General features: G+C 39.8%; 1 protein-coding gene and 1 pseudogene across 11 annotated transcripts in view; both read left to right on the top strand.

The window, feature by feature from the left end:
* The window catches only part of SLC22A16 (solute carrier family 22 member 16), a 51927-nt gene that overhangs the window by 21915 nt on the left and 7082 nt on the right, over positions 1–22930 (top strand). For 6 of the 11 annotated variants that reach the window (XM_011536208.4, NM_033125.4, XM_011536205.3 and 3 more), the window contains 4 exons: positions 7709–7826; positions 11924–12455; positions 15852–15979; positions 18738–18847. In XM_011536208.4, coding sequence (XP_011534510.1) covers positions 7709–7826; positions 11924–12455; positions 15852–15979; positions 18738–18847 — 888 coding nt within the window. Of the gene's footprint in view, positions 1–1091; positions 1172–7708; positions 7827–11923; positions 12456–15851; positions 15980–18737; positions 18848–22930 lie in introns of all 11 variants that reach the window. The other 5 variants (XM_011536211.3, XM_047419435.1, XM_011536212.3 and 2 more) reach the window with 3 other exon arrangements.
* RN7SL617P (RNA, 7SL, cytoplasmic 617, pseudogene) lies at positions 14406–14627 on the top strand (annotated as a pseudogene).

Below are 22930 nucleotides of genomic sequence, written 5' to 3'. Positions count from 1 at the left end.
TATATATAATATAAAATATATAATATATATAAATATATATAATATATATAAAATATATAATATATATAAATATATATTATATATAAAATATATAATATATATAAATATATATTATATATAAATATTATATATAATATATATATTAGTGAAAGCAAGTTTATTAAGAAAGTAAAGGAATAAAGAAGGGTCACTCCATAGGCAGAGCAGCCATGATATATATTTTTTAAAGTCCTTGAGAAGTTGCATACCATTAACTGGTATTCATTTGGATGGGTAGCTTGAATTAAAATTACTTGGGAGCTCCAGAAAAACCTTAAGCTAAAAAATTGGTTTGACATGGTCCCTGACTCCCAGTGTCTGTATTCTCTCGGCGGAATTTGTTGAAAGAGACAGCCTCCTTGCACCTCTTGTAGTCTTCTATACTTCTTGCTGGATGTGCCAAGATGGCAAGTCCCTGACCACTTTTTTATGTGGGCCATTTCTCAGAGTTGTCTATGCAGCCAGTACCTTAAAAGATGAGTGCTATGGCTTAGATATGATTAGTCTGTTCTCACCAAGGCTCATGTTGAAATTTGATCCCCAGTGTGGCGGTGTTGGGAGGTGAGGCCTAGTGGGAGGTGTTTGGGCCATGGGGGCAAATCCCTCATGAATGAATTGGTGCTGTTCTCATGGCAGTGAGTGAATGAGTTCTGGCTGTCACAAGACTGGATTAATTCTCGCAGGAATTGATTAGTTCCTGCAAGAGTGGATTGTTTTAAAGTGAGGACACCCCTCAGGTTTCTCTCTCTTTACATGTGTCTGCTTCACCTTTGACCTTCTCTGCCATGTTGTAATGTAGCATGAAAGCCCTTGCAAGAAGCCAGTACCCTTGATCTTCCCAGCCTGCAGAACTATGAGCTAAATAAACCTCTTTTCTTTATAAATTATCCAGTCTTAGGTGTTCTTTTATAGCAACATAAAATTAACTAATATGATGAGATAATGTCCCCTCTCTGCCACAAAGAGTAGGCTTCCTAACTGCTTGGTACAAAACCAGTGGATTCCCCACATCCAGTGCTCCTCCTCTCTAATTCAACCCACTATCTGTGAAGTGTCATCTGGACTCATTGTGGGACTTGGGGATTAGAGGACCTGAGACAAAGATGCTGCTGCCCTACTGCTTGCTAACGAAGTAAGTAATGAAGTTCTTTGTCTCTGACCCAAACATCTTGTGTTTTTGCCAGCATCCCTTAAACAGTACAGATTAACATATTAACTTAGAGTAAAATAAAATTGAATATTCTTTGTATACCCTCATCTTGGGCCTGAGAGGATTCTCATAAATTATTTTTCAAGGTGAATAAGTAGCTCAGTGAAAACCAAAAGACATAATTAAAAGGGACCATGAGTGAGAATCAACAGAAACAACTGGCAGCAGAAGCAGACTTCTGCACAAAGACTTCAAATACTAGAATTATCAGGCACAAATAATAAAATAACCACACTTACTATTTTTAAAGAAATAGAAGACAAGCTTAAAAATATTGATAAAAACTGGACATTGCATTAAAACTGACATAAAATTGAAGAATACCCAGGACATCTAGAAATACAAAGTGAAATAAGTGAATAACAAATCACCTGCAAAGTTTTAACAACCTGTCACACACAGCTACAAAAAATTCATGAAATGGATGATAACTCAGAAAAAGTCATCAATATTAAAGCTCAGAGAGACAGAGAGGTGGGAAATATGAGAGATTAAAATTTATGGAGGCTGAAAAGAGAAAAGTTCTGAAATCTACTTAATATTAGAAACTAATCAATGGTATTTACCACATTAACGTATTAGAGGACAAAATTCATACAATCAACTCAATACATATAGGAAAAGCATTTGATGAATTTCAAAATCCATTCATCATAAAAACTAAAAATAGAAGAATGCCTTTAACCTGATAAAAGGTTTCTACAATAAGGTTTACCATGAATATCTTACTTGTGAAGTTTAAAATATTAATTTCTTTTTTCTTTCTTTCTTTTTATGTTTAGAGACAGGGTTTTGCTATGTTGCCCAGGCTGTTCTCAAACTCCTGGGCTCAAGCAATTCTCCTGCCTCAGCCCTCCCAAGTAGGTGGGATTACAGGCATGCACCACTGCACCCAGCTCTTAACTGTGAAATGTTAAAAGCTTTTCCTTTGAGATTAGGAACAGACGAGGATGTATGAAACATGTCTTCTACTTAGCATTGTACTGGATAGTCTAGCCAGTGCTGTAAGGAAAAAGAGAGAGAAAGAGGTAGAAGGAAAGGAAGCAAGGAAAGAATAATGATTGGAAAGGAGAAATAAAAAGTCATTATTTGTAGTTATTACAATTTTGTATGAAAAAAGTCCTACATATGAATTATTAGAATTAATGAGCATTTAAAATTATATTTCTATATACCAGTAACAAATATATAAATTTTAAAAATGTCATTGCAGAAACCTAAAAATATGAAATATAAATGGTTAAATATAACAAAAAGTGAAGAAGGCCCTCTGTGGAGACAATTATAAACTTGAAGAATCAAATCATTAAAGTAAATAGATATATCACTAGACAAACAGATTGAGGCTCCCTTAGAGGTTCCTGGAATAGACTTGTGCATTCATAAACATAAGTATAGACACATAGGCATTTTATATTAGCAGGAAAAGGATCAATCATTAAGTGGTGCTGGGACAGATGTCTAGCTATATAGAAGGAAATACAACTGGATTCATTTTCTAACATTTTACAGTACAACAGCAGTTCCAGAAGGACTAAACGTGCATATGTGAAAAGCAAAACTATACGATTTTAGGAAGATAATTTAGGAGAATATTTTCAGGACCTAATGGAAGAAAGGGTGATTTTTCTAAAACACAAAAAACATTGATCATGAAAGAAAAAATGGATAAATTTGACTTCATTACAGGAATTTATGTCCACCAAAAGACACCATTAAAAGAGGAAAGACATGAATGTGTGCACACAAGAGAGAGAAAATATTTGCTTTACATATAACTAAATTATTAGTGTCCAGAATAGTCAAAGGATTTTTACTTACATCAATGGGAAAAAGACAATCCAATAGAAAAATGGGAAAAAGATTTGAAGTCACTTCATAGAAAAGAAAATCCAAATGGCTAATGAAAAGTTGAATTGACAGTGACATATAATCACACCATTTACTTTTGACCAGTTGTCAAAAGTCAGAAGTCTTGTAATACTAAGTGTTGGTGAGGATATGGAGTAATAGGATCTCTCATCCTGCTGGTGTGAATGCAAACTGAGAATCCAAATTGGGTTAACCTTGAAGACTGATTTGGTATCATATAGAGTTGGTGATGTGCACAGCCACATGCTCTGGGGCATATACCCTGAGCATGCTCTTGCACAGGTCCACAGAGGTACATGCATAAAAGTGCCCTCACAGCATTGTTCCTAACAGCCCTGCACTCTAAACAACCCAGATGTCCTTCAATTATCTCATGGACACATGTATTAAAATATATTCTTACAGTAGGATATGTGGACATGAAAATGAATGAGACACAGCTACATGAAACAACATAGATGAATCTCCTATACATAATGTTTGATAAAGGAAGCAAGTCATAAAATAATACATGTGGTATTGTCCTGTTATAGAAAATTTAAAATCATAATAGCAAAACTTACCTATACTGTTTATAAGCAGTAACCTGTATTGTTTAGCATTGCTTATAAAAGTAGTAAAATGAAACAAAAAACAAGAGATTATCACCAAAATTAGAAAAATGTTTCCTCCTAGAAAGGGCAAGGGATTTGTAGTCACAAAGAGAGGTGCAAGAAGCTATCAGGAGGCTGGCAATCATCTCTTTCTTGCCTTGGGTTGTGATTTCTAGGCATTTGATTTTTTATTATTCTTGAAACTGTACATATTTTATGCATGGTTATATATGTATAAAATATTATAATAAAAAAAGCAAAGAAATAAGATCTGATCCCACCCTTAAGGAGCTAACAGTGGAGAATATAGACTTTTGAACTGACAATTTCAATGAAATGTAGTAAATGCTTTTTTTTTTTTTTTTTTTTTTTTGAGAAGATGTCTAGCTCTGTTGCCCAGGCTGAAGTGCAGTGGTGCGATCTTGGATCACTGCAACTTCTGCCTCCCAGGTTCAAGTGATTCTCCTGCCTCAGCCTCCCGAGTAGCTGGGACTACAGGCATGTGCCGCCATGCCTGGCTAATTTTTGTATTTTCAGCAGAGTAGGGGTTTCACCATGTTGGCCAGGCTGGTCTTGAACTCCTGACCTCCAGTGATCTGCCTGCCTTGGCCTCCCAAAGTGCTGGGATTACAGGCATGAGCCGCCATGCCCAGCCGGTAAATGCTTTTAAAATAATAAAAACTCGCATTTATGGACAATTTATTATACACTAGGTACTATTCTAAATGTCTTATATATCATCTCATTTAATTATTTAAAGAGGTCTGTGAGATAGACACTATTGTGCCCCCCCCTCCTTTTTTTTTAACCAGTAGGGAAAAGGAAGCATAGAAAGTTCACATGGAAAATAAGGGATGGAGCTGGGATTTGAGCCCAGGCCAGCATCCCCAACTACTGCATCACACTGTTTCTGAATTTTTGCTATGAGACCCCAAGGAATGATCAATGGAAGTTGTCAGATGGAGAAGGCCCCCAAGGGAAAGGAATAGCTTTGTGTCATGAAACAACCTGGCATGTTCAGAGAATTGTGGGAAAGTCAGTGTGGCAGAAGTAGAGAAGGGCAGATTGTGAAAGGAAATGACAAGAGACAAAACCACAATGGGGATTATTTTATTTCTAGGAAGTGTGGAAGGTGTACTGACATGAGGTTAGGAAGACCAGCTGGGAAGCTAGTGGGATGAATGATGTAAGAAATGGTGAAGACTTGAGTGAAAGCGGGAAAAGCAGGGAGGAAAAGATGAAGACATATTTGGGAGGCATTTCTAAACTCACATAATCTGATGACGAATATGCAGGAGGGAGCGGAGGAATGTATTAAGGTTTAGAAGCCTAATGGAAGGAGATTTTGCTAACCAATTCAGGAAATACCAGGGAGAGAGCAGTTTTAGAAGAGAAGGGAACACGTTTGGATATATTCCAGTGAGCTTGTCCTATCCCTATTAAGAAAAACAAAGTCCTATCCCTATATTAAGAAAAACAAAGTGAAGATGTGTTCAAAGTTAATACCAATTACAACAGCAACAAGAGATTGCAGCTCTGCAGGACATTAAAGCAGAGAAGAGCAACTGGGGCCAGATGGTGGGTGGGGAGTTAATAGCCCATACTTAGGAATCAGAGCCAGGGAAGTGGATGAAATCACAAGGGCAGAGTGTGCAGCAGAGGACTTTAGGGAGTCCAGCTTTGAGGCAGGCGGGTCATCAGGGAGGTACAAGCAGAACCAGGTGAGAGGGATGTTTTACAAGCCAAAGGACAGCAGGGGTCTAACGAGTAGGCATGGTCAGTGGCATTAGAGAGGACAGGCAGAAAGGACCAGGAGAGGCAATGTGCAGGTCCCTGGTGACTGCAAAATGAGCTCAGAAAAGTTGGTTGCACCTGGTCATCATTGGCTGAGGAAACATGTAGGAGTTGAGGAAGGAAATACTCCCTTCTGATATATCTGTCAAGGGAGGAAATGCAACGTGGCTAAAGGAGCAATGGGGTCAAGAGAAGGTTCTTGTCTTTGGTTGGAGGAGACTAAACTGAAAGGAAGAAGTCAAAGGAGAGGGAAAAACAAAGGAAAAAGAAGTGAAGGGTTTCAGAGGAAGTGGGAAGAGGCACAAGCCGATACAAAGATTGCAAAATGATATTTGGAGAGAAAGGGGCATGTGTCTTCAGAGAGGCAGGAAGAGAAGGCTGAATGCAGATGCAGGTCATGTTGGTAAGTGGACAGAGCAGGAAGTTGTGGGTCTTCCTCTTTGATGGTCTCTGTTCTCTGCAGGAGATGGCTGTTCATCTACAGAGAGAGAAGTTGTTTGAGGTGGGAGAGAGGGTCAAGCAGTGATAGGTAAAAATAGTTTTAGGTGGCATTCAGGGATAAAATTAGATTGGGGAACATTCATATATAGGGCCAACAATCTCTACTAATGTGCAAAGGAGCAAAGAAGGCTGAAGTGTGAAGATGATGGTTTCTTATTTATTTGCATATCCTCTGCTGCACCAAGCAAATCTGTTGGTTGGACTCTCCAGACAATATTCTTTTGCCTTAAACTATTTGTCAGAGACAACCCATAGGAAGAAAATATTTGCTTATTATATATCTGATAAGGGTCTAGTATCCAGAATATATAAAGAGCTCTTACAACTCAATATTAAAAAAGCAATAGACTAATTCAAAAATGGGCAAAGAATTTGGATAAACATTTCTCTAAAGAATATATGCAAATAGCCAATACGCGCTTGAAAAGATGCTCAACATCATTAATCATTAGGGAATTGTAAATAAAAACCACAATCAGATACTACTTCACAGCCATTGGGCTGGCTATAATAAAAAAGGCAGACAGTAACAAGTAGTGGGGAGAATGTGGAGAATCAAAACCCTCATACATTGCTGGTGGGAATGGAAAAATGGGGCGGCCATCTTGGAAACCAGTTTGGCAGTTCCTCAAAATGTTACACATAGAGTTACCATATGACCCAGGAATTTCACTCTAGGTATATACCCAAGAGAATTCAAAACCTAAGTTCACACAAAATCTTGTTCATGAATGTTCAGAGCAGCATTATTCATAATAGCCAAGAAGAGGAAAATGAGCCATCAACTGATGAATAGATAAAATGTGGTTTATCCGTATAATGGTGCTACTCAGAGAGAAAAAAGGAATGAAGTGCTAATACATGCTACAACGCAGAAGAAGCTGGAAAATCTAATGCTAGGGAAAAGAAGTCAGACACAAAAGGCCACATATTGTTTGACTCCATTTATGGGAAATGTCCAGAACAGGCAAATCTATGGAGACAGAAGGTAGATGAGTGGTTGTCAGAGACTGGAGGGAGCAGGGAAGAGGGGGTGGCAGCTTCTGGGCACAGAGTTTCTTTTGGGAGTGATTAACGTATCCTGGAATTAAAGAATGATGATGGTTGCACAACCTTGCAAATATACTAAAAACCACCAAATTGTCTACTTTAAAAGGTTGAATTTTATGGCATTTGAATTATATCACAATTTTAAAATCTGTCAGATATTATTTGTTTTTTAAACAAAGAGATGCCTCTTTCAATTATGAAAAGATAGGGCAAGTAAGCACATTATTCTAGAAGAAGAAGGTAGCAAGACCTCTGTTTTTAGAGGGGCTTGGCAAGAGCTGTCATAGCCTTAGTGGACAGAGCCAGCCTGGCAGGGAAGATGATCCCACAGAGAGCCAAAGTCCTGAAAGGGAGAGGACAAATTCTCTCCTCTCTTCCCCCAATCCCAGGTTAAAGGGTCCTGCGGGGATGACTCAGAGTGATCAGGTATGTATATTAGCAACTCAGGTAAAGGCCTCTCCACTGAACAGCTGGTCTTTTAAAGAAGCCATGGAACTTATGGTTTGCTCAAAATAAATAAAAGAAAAACAATCAATACATAAGCTATTCAAGGTATATAGGTAATGCCTATCTTTTATGAATTGGAGTGGATGTTTAAACTGTTACAACTCTACCTTTCCTCTTCCACTGTGTGACTCTTATTTTTCAGGCTAGGACGCCGGGTGGTCTTGTGGGCCACAAGCAGTAGCATGTTTTTGTTTGGAATAGCAGCGGCGTTTGCAGTTGATTATTACACCTTCATGGCTGCTCGCTTTTTTCTTGCCATGGTGAGTTGTGTTTTTTACTTCTTTAATTCTGCTGCAGTTTTTCATAGGAAACCTTAACTCTCATCATTTTGCTCATTTAAGATCTAGTGAGCGAGATCAAGGACTCATCTTTGTCCACTCCACTGCAGAAGTCTGCCTACAGAATACCAATGCCTTATGTTTAGAATGGAACTCATTAAAGTGAAAAATTGTTGCTGGCTAGGCAGAAGTGTGTTTGCCTCTGTGTCGGGCATGTGGTCCACATGTCACAATTACTGAGGCATTATTTTCTTTCTGAGTAATCATATTGGTCTAGTCAGGGCCTGTTCACATGAGCAAACAGACAGTTGAGGTGTGTGGTTAAAGTCACTTGTATAATGTACAGGAAGAATGAAAACAGGAGGGCATTAGGTCCTTATGTTACCAGGAACGGCAGTTTAGTGGAAAGGGCACGAGTTTGAATACCAGCATTGTCATATATTGGCTTGTTAGTTGTATGATCAGTATCCTCTTTGAACCTTTGGTTGCAGTCTGTAAACTGTAGAAAAGAATCTGTGTTTATTATTATTATTCTCAGGATTCAGTGAGATTAAGTATAAACAACCGCAGTACAGCACCTGATTACAATGGTAACTTACTAGAAATGGACTAGCGAGCAAGGAGGCTGTTTCCATGCTCAGTGAGGCTTCCAGATAGATTTCCAACTATCAAGCAACATCAAGAATAATAGAGGGAAGTTTCCATCTGGAGGAGGAGCTTGTGATCTTGCTAAATGCAGAGCAGCAGGTTGGATGGTCTGAGGGTCTGGAGAGAAGCAAAGGGCTTCAATCTCTCTGCACCCCCTCAGAGAACAAGATGGGGTGTCAGTTTTGGAGTCTTTTTTGATGGATAGAAAGGGTTTCTAGCAAACCATACAGTTGGCCAAGGATAAGGAAGATGCATAAAAATAAATCTAGGAGACTGGAAGGTGTTGTACCTCATTAAAAAGTAAATATATATATTTAGGAATGTAAAGAGTTTTAAATACAAGATAGCAACCAGTAGTTCTGTTTCCACTGAGGACATAACTCTGTGACTGTAGAGTGAGATTTCACGAGAGAAACCTTCTGGTGGGACTGAAGGCTCCACAAAGGCACAGGTACTAAGAAAGTATAAACATCATCTTTTGGAAGACTTAAGAGGATATTTCTGAAAATATCTGTTTCAGTCTTGCAAAATACCACGCGTTGGCTTCTATACCCAAGGAAACAAGGCCACACCCATAGAATACATCCGTGAAATGTGGCCTTAATTTTCTGTGACTGTTTCCGTTGATGTTCATGGGGAATGGATTTGTGGGGGAATTCTGTGGATGGGAGATGCAGGCAGATTCATTTACTCAACACATTTATTGATCTGTCTACAGAGTGTAATGCTAAGTAAACCAGACCCAGCTGTCTCAGTAAGTCTAGTAGGAAAGGCAAGACGTTGATCAGCCATCTTCAAAAATAAATAAAATGTTGACAGTGAGGGCATAACATCAGTGGGTCTGGAGCGTTCACCAGGGTCTGGAGGGTCAAGGGTTTTCTCACTGTGAGGGATGGGTGAGAGAAGAATATTCCAGCAAAGATAGAAGTGGATGAAAGGGCCCTGAGATGAGAAAGAAAAGCCGGAATGTCTGGAGAATAGAGAGGAGGAGAGACGCATTGATGAGGCTGAAGGGATCAAGGCGGTTAGGTGGGGCTTTGTAGGATTGTCAGGATTTTGCTCTATCTCCTAAAGGCAATGGCAATCCACAAAAGGGATTCCAGGAATTCTGGCTGCTATGAGGGGGTGGATTCCGAGAAGATGTGAGTATTATTATCAGTGGAAGGGATGGGTGTGAGTGGATTCACAGAGTGTTTTGGAGTTAGTTGTATATGGATTTTCTGAATCCAATAACAGAGGAAGTTGTAGCTGACTCATGAGAAATAATTAGCATTGAAAAACCTGACAGGGACAAATATTACAGCTTAATTTAACTGGGAAATTTATAGTATTTGAAAGTTATCACAATCTTTGTTAATGTAACAGCAGCGCTTACCAAAAGCGACTTCTGGATTGTTAGATGTAGGGTCCCGATGATCTGAGTCTTGCCATTACAAAGTTGCACAGGGAAATAAAAGCTGTTGTCACAAAAATATTAAACTGATTATGAATACAGTAGTCCTCATCAAGCACCTCCCTGCCTCCTGCTAGTGTCAACCCTTTCTGACAGCAGGAATATCCTTGTAGGCCGGCCTCTTTGTGACTGTCCAATGCAAGGAGAAATTGCAGTTATTACAAGGGACACATGTTTACAAAAAGTCTTTAAAAGCAGTGAGGGAACAGGGGAACACTGCCTGAATCCTGCCCACAACCTTTGGCCAGTGGGGATCTGGCAGAGAGACCTGTTAACTTTTGAAGAAATTAACATCTGCAAGGATAATCACATAATGAGCCTTTGAAAGAGTATGATTCAAATATCTAATGATTAAGAGAAGCCTTTGGGGAGTGGTGCTCTCGAATAATTTTACAAAAGTTAATTGTATGATTTGTGTTGTAGAAGTCAAATATGAAAAAATTTTGTAGAAAAAATTCTTCCCCTCCTCCTCCCAAAAAACCCATCAATGGACTCATTCTTTGTTTATTTCAAGAATGGTCACATATTATATTCTAATCACATATTGTAATCTAATTTTTATTAAAGATAGTCATATTTCCAAAATAAAGTTTTTCCCCAGTTTTCCTTCTTGTGGTAAAGTACATATAACACAAAATTTACCATCCTAACCATTTTTAAGTGTACAGTTGAGTGATATTAAGTGCATTCATACTGTGGTGCAATTATCACCACTGTGCATCTTCAGAACTCGTTTTCATCTTGCAAAACTGAAACTCTGTCCATTGAATAATAACTCTCTGTTCCCTGTCTCCCTAGCCCCTGACAACCACCATTCTACATCCTGTCTCTATGAGTTTGGCCACTCTAGGTACCTCATGAAAGCGGAATCATATGATAGTTGTCTTTTTGTGACTGGCTTATTTCCCTTAGCATAATATTCATTGTATGCATAGACTACATTTTTCTTATCTATTCATCTATGGACGGACCCTTGGGGGGTTGCTTCCATGCTTTAGCTGTTGTGAATAATGCTATGAGCAGGCATGTGCAAACATCTCTTCCAGACCCCACTTTCAATTCCTTTGGGTATATACTCAAAGGTGGAATTGCTGGATCATGCTGTAATTGTTTTTTGAGGAATCGTCATACTGTTTTTCCTAGAGGCTGTGCCATTATACATTTCTCTCACATATTACACATGGGTTCCAGTTTCTCTACATTCCCGCCAAAACTTGTTATTTTTTTTTTTAATTAGCCACACTAATGTGTATGAGGGGGTATCTCTTTGTAGCATTGAATTGCATTTCTCAATGATTGGTAAAAATTTGTATTTCTTCTGTTTGAAATGTCTGTTCAAAGCCTTTGCCCATTTTTGAATTGGATTGTCTGTGTTTTTGCTGTTGTTGGATTTTAGGAGTTCTCCATAAAATCCCTTATCAGATATTTGATTTGCAAATATTTTATCCAGTTCTGCAGGTTGCCTTTTCCCTCCATTGATAGTGTTCTTTGATGCACAGTTTTAATTTTCATGAAGTCTAATTTGTCTTCTTTGCCTGTCAAAATAGAATTTTAATTAAATCAGTTTTTCTTACCACTAGTTAGCGTAAATTTTTTTGTCTCCATTTAGCAGTTAGGATTTAACAATAAGGACCTCCTGGATACAGATAACTTGATGTATGCATTTACAAGGAATGGAGAAATACATCCACAGTATAATGAAATATTTAGATGACACAAAAGACAATGTCTAACATTTATATCATAAATAATCTCTCAAGTTTTGCCATTTGGGGTGGGGAGGATGAGGGAAGATGAAAGGACCTATAAGAAAAAAAGATAGATCGGATTGAATGTCATTTTATACATCTGATAGGGGTTTCAGAAAGCAAGTCTTTGTCATTTTCTTTTTTGCCTATATGTGATTTGCAATGGGGTCAGACTCCTCAATAGTTATAAATGTGACCTTGAATATAAATCCCTATTATTTGTTTTTCAGGTTGCAAGTGGCTATCTTGTGGTGGGGTTTGTCTATGTGATGGAATTCATTGGCATGAAGTCTCGGACATGGGCGTCTGTCCATTTGCATTCCTTTTTTGCAGTTGGAACCCTGCTGGTGGCTTTGACAGGATACTTGGTCAGGACCTGGTGGCTTTACCAGATGATCCTCTCCACAGTGACTGTCCCCTTTATCCTGTGCTGTTGGGTGCTCCCAGAGACACCTTTTTGGCTTCTCTCAGAGGGACGATATGAAGAAGCACAAAAAATAGTTGACATCATGGCCAAGTGGAACAGGGCAAGCTCCTGTAAACTGTCAGAACTTTTATCACTGGACCTACAAGGTCCTGTTAGTAATAGCCCCACTGAAGTTCAGAAGCACAACCTATCATATCTGTTTTATAACTGGAGCATTACGAAAAGGACACTTACCGTTTGGCTAATCTGGTTCACTGGAAGTTTGGGATTCTACTCGTTTTCCTTGAATTCTGTTAACTTAGGAGGCAATGAATACTTAAACCTCTTCCTCCTGGGTAAGTAGTTACAGTATATTTAAATTTGGCAGTGAAGTGAGATTTCTACCATTTGTGTGTGTGTGTCTGTTTCTGTGTGAATTTGAGAAAAAGAATGTTTTTAATAGGCCCTTTAAAACCAGGAACAATACTGCCAACCATATTATTATGATATCTCTTAGTGTTATGTTGTAACACATGTACATATGAGGGGACTTCAACCAGTTCATGGAAAAATGGCATTAAAAGACAAAAATTTAAAACATAAACTTTCTCAACATGATTGCCATCAAGGTCAAGACACTTTTGTACGACATCAGCCATTTATTCCATCCTTAAAAAACTGAGGGTCCTGAGAATGTACCCATGTCAATGCAGTCTTATTTACACTATTAACTGAAGAAAAATGGGTGCCGCGTACAGACTTTTTAAGATTAGGAAACAGAAAGAAGTCAGAATGAGCCACCATGAGAACTGTTAAGGTGGCTGCCTAGTGATTTCCCATCAAAACTCTTGCAAAATTGCCCTTGTTTGATGAGAGGAATGAGCATGCCCATTGTCATGGAGGAGAAGGACTCTCTGGTGATGTTTCCCAGGCATTTTTCTACAAAAGCTTTGGTTAACTCTCTCAAAACACTCTCCTCATAAGCAGATATTTTCATTCTTTGGCCCTCCAGAAAGCTAACAAGCAAAATGCCTTGAGCATCCCCAACAAACGTTGCCATGACCTTTGCTTTCGACTGGTCCACTTTTGCTTTGACAGGACCATGGCCCCCCTTGGTAACCATTGCTTTGGTTGGGCTTTGTCTTCAGGATCAGACTCGTAAAACCGTGTTTCATCTCCTGTTACAATTCTCCAAAGAAATCCTTCAGGATCTTGATCCCACTTGTTTAAAATTTCCATGGGAAGTTCTGCCCTTCTCTGCAGCTGATCTGGGCACAACTGTTTTGGCACCCATTGAGTGGAAAGTTTGCTCAACTTTAATTTTTCAGTCAGAATTCTGTAAGCCAGACTAATTGAGATATCTATGGTATTGGCTATTGCTTCTGCTGTTAATCTCAGTCTTTGTCAATTAGGGCATAAACAAGATGTATTTTTTTCCTCAATGTGGATGCTCTGCCACTGTGGTCTTCATCTTCAATATCGTCTTGTCCTTTCTTAAAATAAGTTATCCATTTGTAAACTGCTGATTTATTTGGGGCTTTGTGCCCGTAAACTTTTCATAAAGCATCAATGATTTCACCATTCTTCCACCCAAGCTTCACCATAAATTTGATGTTTGTTCTTGCTTCAATTTCAGCAGAATTCATGTTGCTCTAGTGGGAGCTCTTTTCAAACTGATATCTTATTCTTCTTAGTGCCTCAAACTAGCTCCTCTTCAGACACGTTCTAAGAAGTTAGTACAAATTTCTTTTAGTGCAGAAAAAATCTGAAAACACATGCATAGTTTTTTCATAATATGCACTTTCCATTAACTTTTTTTTTTGGAAAAGGAGTCTTGCTCTGTTGCCCAGGTTGGAGTGCAGTGGTGTGATCTCAGCTCACTGCAATATCCGCCTCCTGGGTTCAAGCGATTCTCCTGTTTCAGCCTCCTGAATAAATGATATTACGGGCACATGCCACCATGCCCAGCTAATTTTTATATTTTAGTAGAGACAGGGTTTCACCATGTTGGCCAGGCTGGTCTCGAACTCCTGACCTCAGGTGATCCACCCGCCTTGGCCTCCCAGAGTGCTGGGATTACAGGCATGAGCCACAGCACCCCGCCGTCCATGACCTTTTTGAAAACTCCTTGTATTTTCCATTTGAAAAAAATGCATCAGAAGAATTTAGTCTCTCCCTTTCTGCCTTCTCTCCTTGCTCACCTTCTTCACACCCATCCCCAGCCCAGAGCTCCTCCCAGGGGTAACTTCTATAATGTTTGGGTTGTGCCCTTTCAGATCTATTCCTATGCATTTGTGCCAGACATTGTGGCATGTGCCTGTAGTCCCAGCTACTCGGGAGGCTGAGGAGGGAGGATTACTTGAGCCCAGGAGTTCTGGGCTGCAGTACTCTATGCTGATCAGGTGTCCACACTAAGTTCAGTATCAGTATGGTGACCTCCTGAGAGCAGGGAACCACCAGGTTGCCTAAGGAGGGGTGAACCGGCCCTGGTCGAAAATGGAGCAGGTCAAAATTCCTGTGCTGATCAGATCTGTTTCTACGCATTTTCATATATTTGTGCATATTAATGTTTTATATTTTAACATAAATGAGATCACTCACTATATATTGTTCTTTGTAAGTTGCTTCCCTTTTAAAATTTAATATGCCTTGGCTATCTGGCACCTCTCAACCTTCAAGTGTCCTTAATTTATAAATTTTAGTTAGTAAAATAACTTTTAAATACATGCAACTATAATTTATGTTGTTGTACTTCTTTCATTTTAATGGCAGGTTAAATCACTTTAGATAGCTTGAGATGTGACTCCTAGTGTAAACCAAATTTAAACTAAAACGTGAGAGAAATATTAGAAACCTCTTTTTATCCATCTAGTCTTAACTCCTGCTTATTGCTGTGTAGGCTGCCTGTATTTTATATTATCCTCAAAACATCTTGCTTCTAAATTTTTATACGTAGACATCGTGCCATCTCATTAAAGTGCTCTGACGGCACATCTGGTTATTTTTTCTGATTTCCTCAGCAGACACATCCGTTTTTGTTCATTATAGCTCAGCAGGAATTATGAGAGAAGTCGTTTTAAGAAAAAAAGATTTACTCTTTTTTTTGAAGCAAACTAACAAGTTTATAGAAAGAGCCTGTCTTGACTTCAAACTCATTCTCTATGACAATTTGAGATGGTGCAGTATCCCTAGAACAGAGTGGCCAATGGTAGGTGGGGTGGAGTGTGGATGCAGAAGCTTAGGAAGGCTAGAAGTTTAGATCTTCATGACATAGTTTTTTACTTTTGCCAAAGACATAAATTGTCAAAAAACTGGGCAATCTCATAAATACAAAAATGTTTCCAAAGACAAACACACATGGTTTTATATTATCTACCGTTTTGGATTTTTCACTTGTACTCTTGCAGATGGGTGCTTCTGTTCAATAATTCTCGGCTGTGAAATTTTTGAACAAGTTTTTATCTCCTGAGACAGTTTGGGGCTGGTGGGAATTTGGGCTCTGGCTTTGTGCCATTTGCAGGTGCCAGGCGGATTATGAGCATTAGAGCATTTCACAGGAAACGCTCATCTTTACTGTAGTGAGTTTAAAAGTGGCGGGGCTGGCTGCCTCGCAGCAATTCTTAGAGAGTTTCTAAAGGCCCCAGAAGTGAGGAGAGGGCTGCTCATGCCTTTTGGGTAGTGGGTTAGAAGACGGGGGTCCCCTTTTGCAGTCGGGTACCTAGACTTATAGAGGGCTGCTTGCTCAATGACAGGTGTAGTGGAAATTCCCGCCTACACCTTCGTGTGCATCGCCATGGACAAGGTCGGGAGGAGAACAGTCCTGGCCTACTCTCTTTTCTGCAGTGCACTGGCCTGTGGTGTCGTTATGGTGATCCCCCAGGTGAGTTATCTTCTGTTTTTTATAAGACAGTTATACTGTGACAGTTTGATGGGAAGAATTTAGCTTATTACAGTTAAGTATGAAGGTCAATTCAGAGTATGATTTGGGCAGAGTATATAATATTTAAAAATCTGTTTTCTTTAAAACATTCTTTTTCTGTTATATAAGTAATATATGTTCATTTTAGAAAATTTGAAGAGAAAAATGTAAAAAAAAAAGAAAAGCCTAACCTGGGTGCAATGACTCACACTTATAATCCCAGCAACTCAAGAGGCTGAGGGTAGGAGGATGGCTTGAGTTCAGGAGTTCGAGGCTGCAGTGAGCTCTGATCACTGCCACTGTACTCCAGCCTAGATGACAGAGTGAGAACTCATCTCAAAAAATAAAAAATAAAAAATAAAAAGTTCATAATCCTAATTCCCAGAGATGACCAGTGTTGTATTTTGTAAACGCAATAATCTTGTGTGAGGAAAGTCGATCACACCTTCCAGCATCATCATACTGAACATTCACTCATTTATTCATTCAGCAAACATTTATCCACCATCTTTTATGTGCCAGGTGCTGAGAACACACAGTGCATCAAGTTTCCGTAAATGTAACGAGAGGGCGTCTGGCACCCGTGTGTACTCTTTTGTCTAGGGTGGTCGAGGATGGTGCACCTCTCGGAGGAGGCGACATGTAATCAGAAACCTGAATGAGGGAGGCAGCCATGGAGACATCTGAAGGATATGAGTCAGATATTCAAGACTGGTAGAGTTTCAGTACACTGTTTTTCATTGCAGGAGATTAGTAGTTTCCAATGTCTGGTACGCATAAACACCCCAAGGAGCTTGTTTTTAAAAACAGTTTCTTAGTGAGAAACACTACCCAGAAATTCCTGAAATGACTTTCACATTCCCATATTTTGGCAAACTGCGTCCCTCAAAATACCTCTTGCATCCAGAAGTGCTTCCCCTCTTCCCAAAAAAGATGTTTTCAGATCTGTATTTTAATTCTTGATTTGCAAAATGTCACTATAACAGTACTTAAAATATTTTATTTAATGTTCTCCTGTGATTATATAATCATTAAGCAATAGTATATCAACATTTAGAGCAAAGCATTTTAAGTTTTGCATATCGTTTGAAATTTAATTTAAGCTAACAAGTGTCTTCCTTTTATAGTAGCACTTTACTTAATGCTTAGGATCGGTGAGCCAAATATTTTATGTAATGAAATTTCCAGGTGATTGATACACAACTAATTGAATGCAATAAAACTACTCGGGACAAGGAGGTCTCTGCCAATTTGAGAGAACTTCATCCACACCTTTAAAAAAGTAGTTTGTAGTGATGGTAGTTGAGTAGATGGCAGCTGCCTTTAAGTTGGTGAAGAGTTGGGGAACACCAGAACCTTTGAGTTCTACACTAATAGGGAAGATGAGAAAGAGGCTGATGGAGATTTCTAGAAATAGAGCATTAACCCACAACGACAAATCTCTCCCCTCCAATAAATTTTTCCCCAGGTGATAATGTCAACACAATACAAATACTAATTTAATTAACAATTGTTAATTAATTTAATTTACAATTGTAATTAAGGTGACATTAGCTCTTTAATAGAGGCATCCCAGAATCTCAGTGACTTAACATAAAGGATGTTTGTTACCTGCTCATAGAAAGTTCCATGTATTTGTACCTAGCTGGCCAAAGTGGGAGTGGTGAGTGGGTGTTTGTGTCCATGGAGTCATTCAGGGATGTAGGCTGACAGAGGCACTGCTGTCCTTAACACATCAGCCGCAAGGCCACCCTGGGTCTCAGCATCCAGTTGGCAGATGGGGGAGGAGGGAGATTTCGGAATATAGGGTGTCTTTGTTAGTTACCTTTGGAAGTGGAACACATTAGGGAGAATAAAAACCGAGGTGGAGGTAAAGGTTTTGCCATTGAGGAATGTATCAGCTGCAAACAAACAAACAAATGAACAAAACAGTCTGTACTAATAGTTACCACTTTCAAATATTTTCTGAAGATAATTTATAAGCCAGGGATTACTGCCACAAAGGGCACAATTTGTTTTGTTTGTTTTTTTTAAGAAAAGTAAATAGATTAAATAGAGACAAGATCTCACTCTGTCACCCAAGCTGAAGTGCAGTGGTGTGATTATAGCCCTCCGTAATCTTGAACTCCTGGGCTTAAATGATCCTCCTGCCTTAGCTTCTCCAGTAGCTGGGACCACAGGCATGTACCATCACACACAGCTAATTTTTTTGTTTTTCTGTAGAAATGGGGTCTTGCTATGTTGCCCTGGCTGGTCTAAAACTCTTGGCCTCAAGTGATTCTCCTGCCTCAGCCTCCTAAAGTGCTGGGATTACAGGTGTGAGCCATTAGGCCCGGCTCACAATTTGTTTGTATGGCTCCTTGATTCATTCTGCTGGATCAGTCCCAGAAGGAGTGGGGAAATTCTTGGTGCCACCAGCACTATCAGGGCGTGTCTCCTTCCAAAACAGTCTTCCCAACTGGCTTTCGTCACAGTTCAAACCCTCCAAAGTGGATGGGGAGAAGAGACACACTGAAACTTTCCTCCACATTTCGTAAAGATGGAAAGCTTTCTCAGACTGTGAGTAGAGTTTAATACATTCAAACAGAAAAATAAGGGTCTTCATTGTTCTGAAAAAATACTGAAGGAATTAGAATGTTTTAAGTAATGATTTTAAAGATTTTCTATTTTCCTTTAAAAATACCACTTGTGATGATCTATTCTGCTAAATTTTTTTCAGAAACATTATATTTTGGGTGTGGTGACAGCTATGGTTGGAAAATTTGCCATCGGGGCAGCATTTGGCCTCATTTATCTTTATACAGCTGAGCTGTATCCAACCATTGTAAGGTAAGGATGAATTGTTTTCTGGTTGTTTTCCTATTATCTTTCACTTGTGTGTCATTTCATTGTATTTGGCCTTTACATGTAAATGCTTCTTTTTTATAGAAGTTACCTGGATCTCTGAGATGGGAAAATGACATGCTGATACTCATTTTGAGTCTGAGGCTTTGTACCCTATTAGTGAGGATATTAGACGAATTATTTTGAAATAACACTCTATTATTCCAAAAACATTTTAAGTTTCAAGTACCATAGACTTCCACTGAGTCTCTGTATTGACTCAAAGGTAATTTCTCAGGATGTGTCTCTCGATGTTCTGATGCCAATTGTGTTAGTCTGAGTGGGCTGCTGTAACAAAATACCACAGGCTGGGTGGCTTAAACAATAGAAATTTATTTTCTCACAGTACTGGAGGCTGGAAGTCCAAGAACAAGGTGTCGGCAGGTTTGGATTCTCCTGAGGCCTCGCTCTGTGGTCTTCAGGTGGTGCCCTCTTGCTATGTCCTCAAGGGGTCTTACCTCTGTGTGCACCGCTGATGTCCCTCCCTCTTCATATAAGACACCAGCCATATTGGATTACGGCCTCACCCTAACAGCCTCATTTTAACTTAATCACCTCTTTAAAGACCTTATCTACAAATACCATTACATCATAAAGTACTAGGGATTCAGACTTCAACACTTGAACTTTGGGAGGGACAACTTAGCCCATAACATCAGTAATCATTGGCTCCCTGAGATTACCTTATCTGGAGGTTCTCAAAGCTGGCAGCTCGTCAGAGTCATTGAGGTATTTCATAAAAAATATCAGTCTTGGGTCCTTACACCAGACCTGCTGGATCAATCCAAGAATGACACTGGGGATTTTTTTTTCTTTTTTCGAGATGGAGTCTCATTCTGTTGCCCAGGCTGGAGTGCAGTGGTGTGATCTTGGTTCACTGCAAGCTCCGCCTCCTGGGTTCAAGCAATTCTCTTGCCTCAGCCTCCAGAGTAGCTGGGATTACACGTGCATGCCACTACACCCGGCTAATTTTTGTATTTTTAGTAGAGACGGGGTTTCACCATGTTGGTCAGGCTGGTCTCGAACTCCTGACCTCGTGATCCGCCAGCCTTGGCCTCCCAAAGTGTTGGGATTACAGGCATGAGCCACCACGCCTAGCCGAGACTCGGGATTTTTAACAAGTCTGCAGGTGACTCTGAGTTGCCACCCTGCCCGCCCCACCCGCCCCCCCGACACCCTTTGGGAATGTCTGATGTGATTCCCACTGATCTGGGAACCTCAGGGACTTCCAAGCTTTTACAAAGCTTTTCCAAACACATTTTACTTGGAAACTCTTTATGTGGTGAAGAGGACGGAGGTCCTTTGTGGAAGCTCTGTTGAGTACCTGGAATCCCCCCAGTGCTCCTGCCTTCTTGCTCCAGGGGGCTGCAGCAGAACTTCCAGGCCTTAACAGTACATCCTTTGTAAACCACACTTCTTGTTGCAGCCCTCATGTCCAGATAAGACAGCTGAGACCAGGGAGATCAAGTACCTGGTGCAAGACACACAGCTGGGACCCCAGCTATAAAGGGAAGGGATCTTTTCTCTGATTCTCCATTGGATTTTATTTTATTTTTTTTGAGACAGAGTCTCACTCTGTTGCCCAGGCTGGAGTGAAATGGTGTGATCTTGGCTCACTGCAACCTTACCTCCCAGGTTCAGGTGATTCTCCTGCCTCAGCCTCCTGAGTAGCTGGGATTGCAGGTGTGCACCACCATGCCCGGCTAATTTTTGTATTTTAGTAGAGACAGGGTTTCACCATGTTGGCCAGGCTGGTCTCAAACTCCTGACCTCAAGTGATCCACCCTCCTTGGCCTCCCAAAGCGCTAGGATTACAGGTGTGAGCCACTGCGTCCGGCCCGTCAGACTTTTTGACTCTTTTTTTTGCAAAATGATCCTGTATTTTAAAGTGTAAATAGTGATTAGGGTCACACTGCTGCCAAGAGACACTTGTCCCACAGATCTCCCTCTGTGAAATTCCGTAATAGTTTCCTATCTGCAGTCCTCCCTTAAATCCTCCAAGTGGCATTTTCCTAACACCTGCTTTATCAATGGAAGTTTTCATTTTCTAAGGGAAAAAATTTGTTAGCTTGGATAATTTCTTAGCCTATTAAAGACCCAATCTTAATGGCAACAAATAAACAAACAAGATATTAAGGTTTTTCACAGGAAACTTATTAAAAAATCTAACTGCTTAGCTAGTGGGTTCATCCCATTTAGGAGTATGTTATTTGTCATGTGTTACAAGTGTGAAAGGCAAGTGACTTTCTATAGAGATAAGTCCATATAACACCAGCCCAGAGATGCCTCCTCCTTGTCTCCACAAGCAGGAGGGATGTAGGACCTAGAAAATCCATTAGTCAAGAGATAGCATAAATCCTTCCCTAGGAATTTTCCATGCCCACACACCTGCCTGCTGAAATGCTAGGGCAGGCAGCCCTGTGGACCAGGATGGGTAAGTACATTTGTGTTGACTGTAGATAGATTAATGGATATCTAGATGGATGGATGGATGGATGGAGGGATGGAAGAATGGATAGATAGAGTAGGTACACATATATATCTAAGAAAAAAGTTTATCAGACTAATATGTGACCAGGGGTATAGAATAGCAGAGGAATAACTCCCTATGTAATTGTCTATTAGCCCAGTTGTCTGAGAGTAGAGTTTTTCTTCTTCCTCCATACTTCCCCTCTAGGTCACCCAGAGTGCTATTATTAGACCACTCTCGCAGTCTAATAATAAATACATCTTCTGTCCATTTTACAGGTTGTGGAACTGGAATTCACACAAGATTAGGGTCGTGGCCAAAGGCATCTGGCTAGTCAGTGACCCATCAGAACTCAAATCCACATCTTTTGGCCCTATCTGTCACCCAGTGAAATACATGAGAATTTTTATGGGAGACAGTGCTTAACATTAGCGGGGGATAAGTTGCTAGCAGTAGAGCTTTAGTAGCAGAGGGGAAGAAGGTATTTTGGGGTAAGGGCTTTGTGGACTCTTCTCAGATCATATTGTGAAAGTGGCAGCCCTGCACAGATGTACAGTAGCAGACAGGCAGAATAACAGATTACATTCTAGCACTTACAGGCTGACAATGGTGGAGACTAGTTGAATGCAATAGAGAGTGAAGTTGCATAATTGCCAACTTGCGTTGTGGCTTTGGCTCCGTTGTGGCTGACCCAGGGAAGAAGCTGCTCTAAATCAGGGAGAATATCTTTGTCATGTCCTGTGGGACCCTTCTGGCCTCTCAGGTGGATTTCTGCTCAGCCAGGAAAAGCTTCAGATTTTCCCAGTTCAGAATTCAGATTGGACCAGATCCATGCAGTGCCTGGCACATATTAGACTCTTGACACACATGTGCTGAGTGAATGCATGTTATATGCTAAGAAGGTGACAATCCCATCAAATAATGTCAATGTGCATTGCAATTATGAATATTATAGTATTTTTTAAGATCTTTTCTTTGTTGGCTTGGTTGTTGGTTTACAACCACAGGTACATGACCTCAAAAAAATCCAATATGTAAATATTTAATACAGGAAATCTTTAACCAACTCTATGAGCTCCCTAAACACCCTAACACTGCATGCAAAATTTTACTTATGTATGATTTCTTTCTCAGAAGAATGCCATACTTTTTATCAGTTCTTTATAAATGTGTGTGACTGGAAAAGATGAGGCACCGTTAATTTATAGAGGTACTTACTCACATAAAAGGACAGTCTTTCCTTACTAACATTCTATACATTTTCTCTAAGTAACCTTTAAAGAAAAGCACATTAAGATATTCCTTGACTCTAAAAAGTTGAAATAGAACAGTACACAGGTATACAGATACTTTGTTCTCTCAAATTCCCACTCCCTACCTGAAACAAATTCCTGCTCTAGAAGACCTTATTATTCTTAATGTTAGGCTGGATCAGTACACACAAGGGCCTCACCTGCACAGCAGATGAAGAATGGCTTACCTCCACACTCCTACCTCTTTTTTGTCATGAATTGTCTTGAATTATGTGCATGCTTATATACACCACTGTTTCACAAAAT

The sequence above is a fragment of the Homo sapiens genome, chromosome 6 (assembly GCF_000001405.40).
Source record: "Homo sapiens chromosome 6, GRCh38.p14 Primary Assembly".
Lineage (NCBI taxonomy): Eukaryota > Metazoa > Chordata > Mammalia > Primates > Hominidae > Homo > Homo sapiens.
Note: the sequence above shows the minus strand (reverse complement) of the source record. Positions and strands in the feature narration are given on the sequence as shown.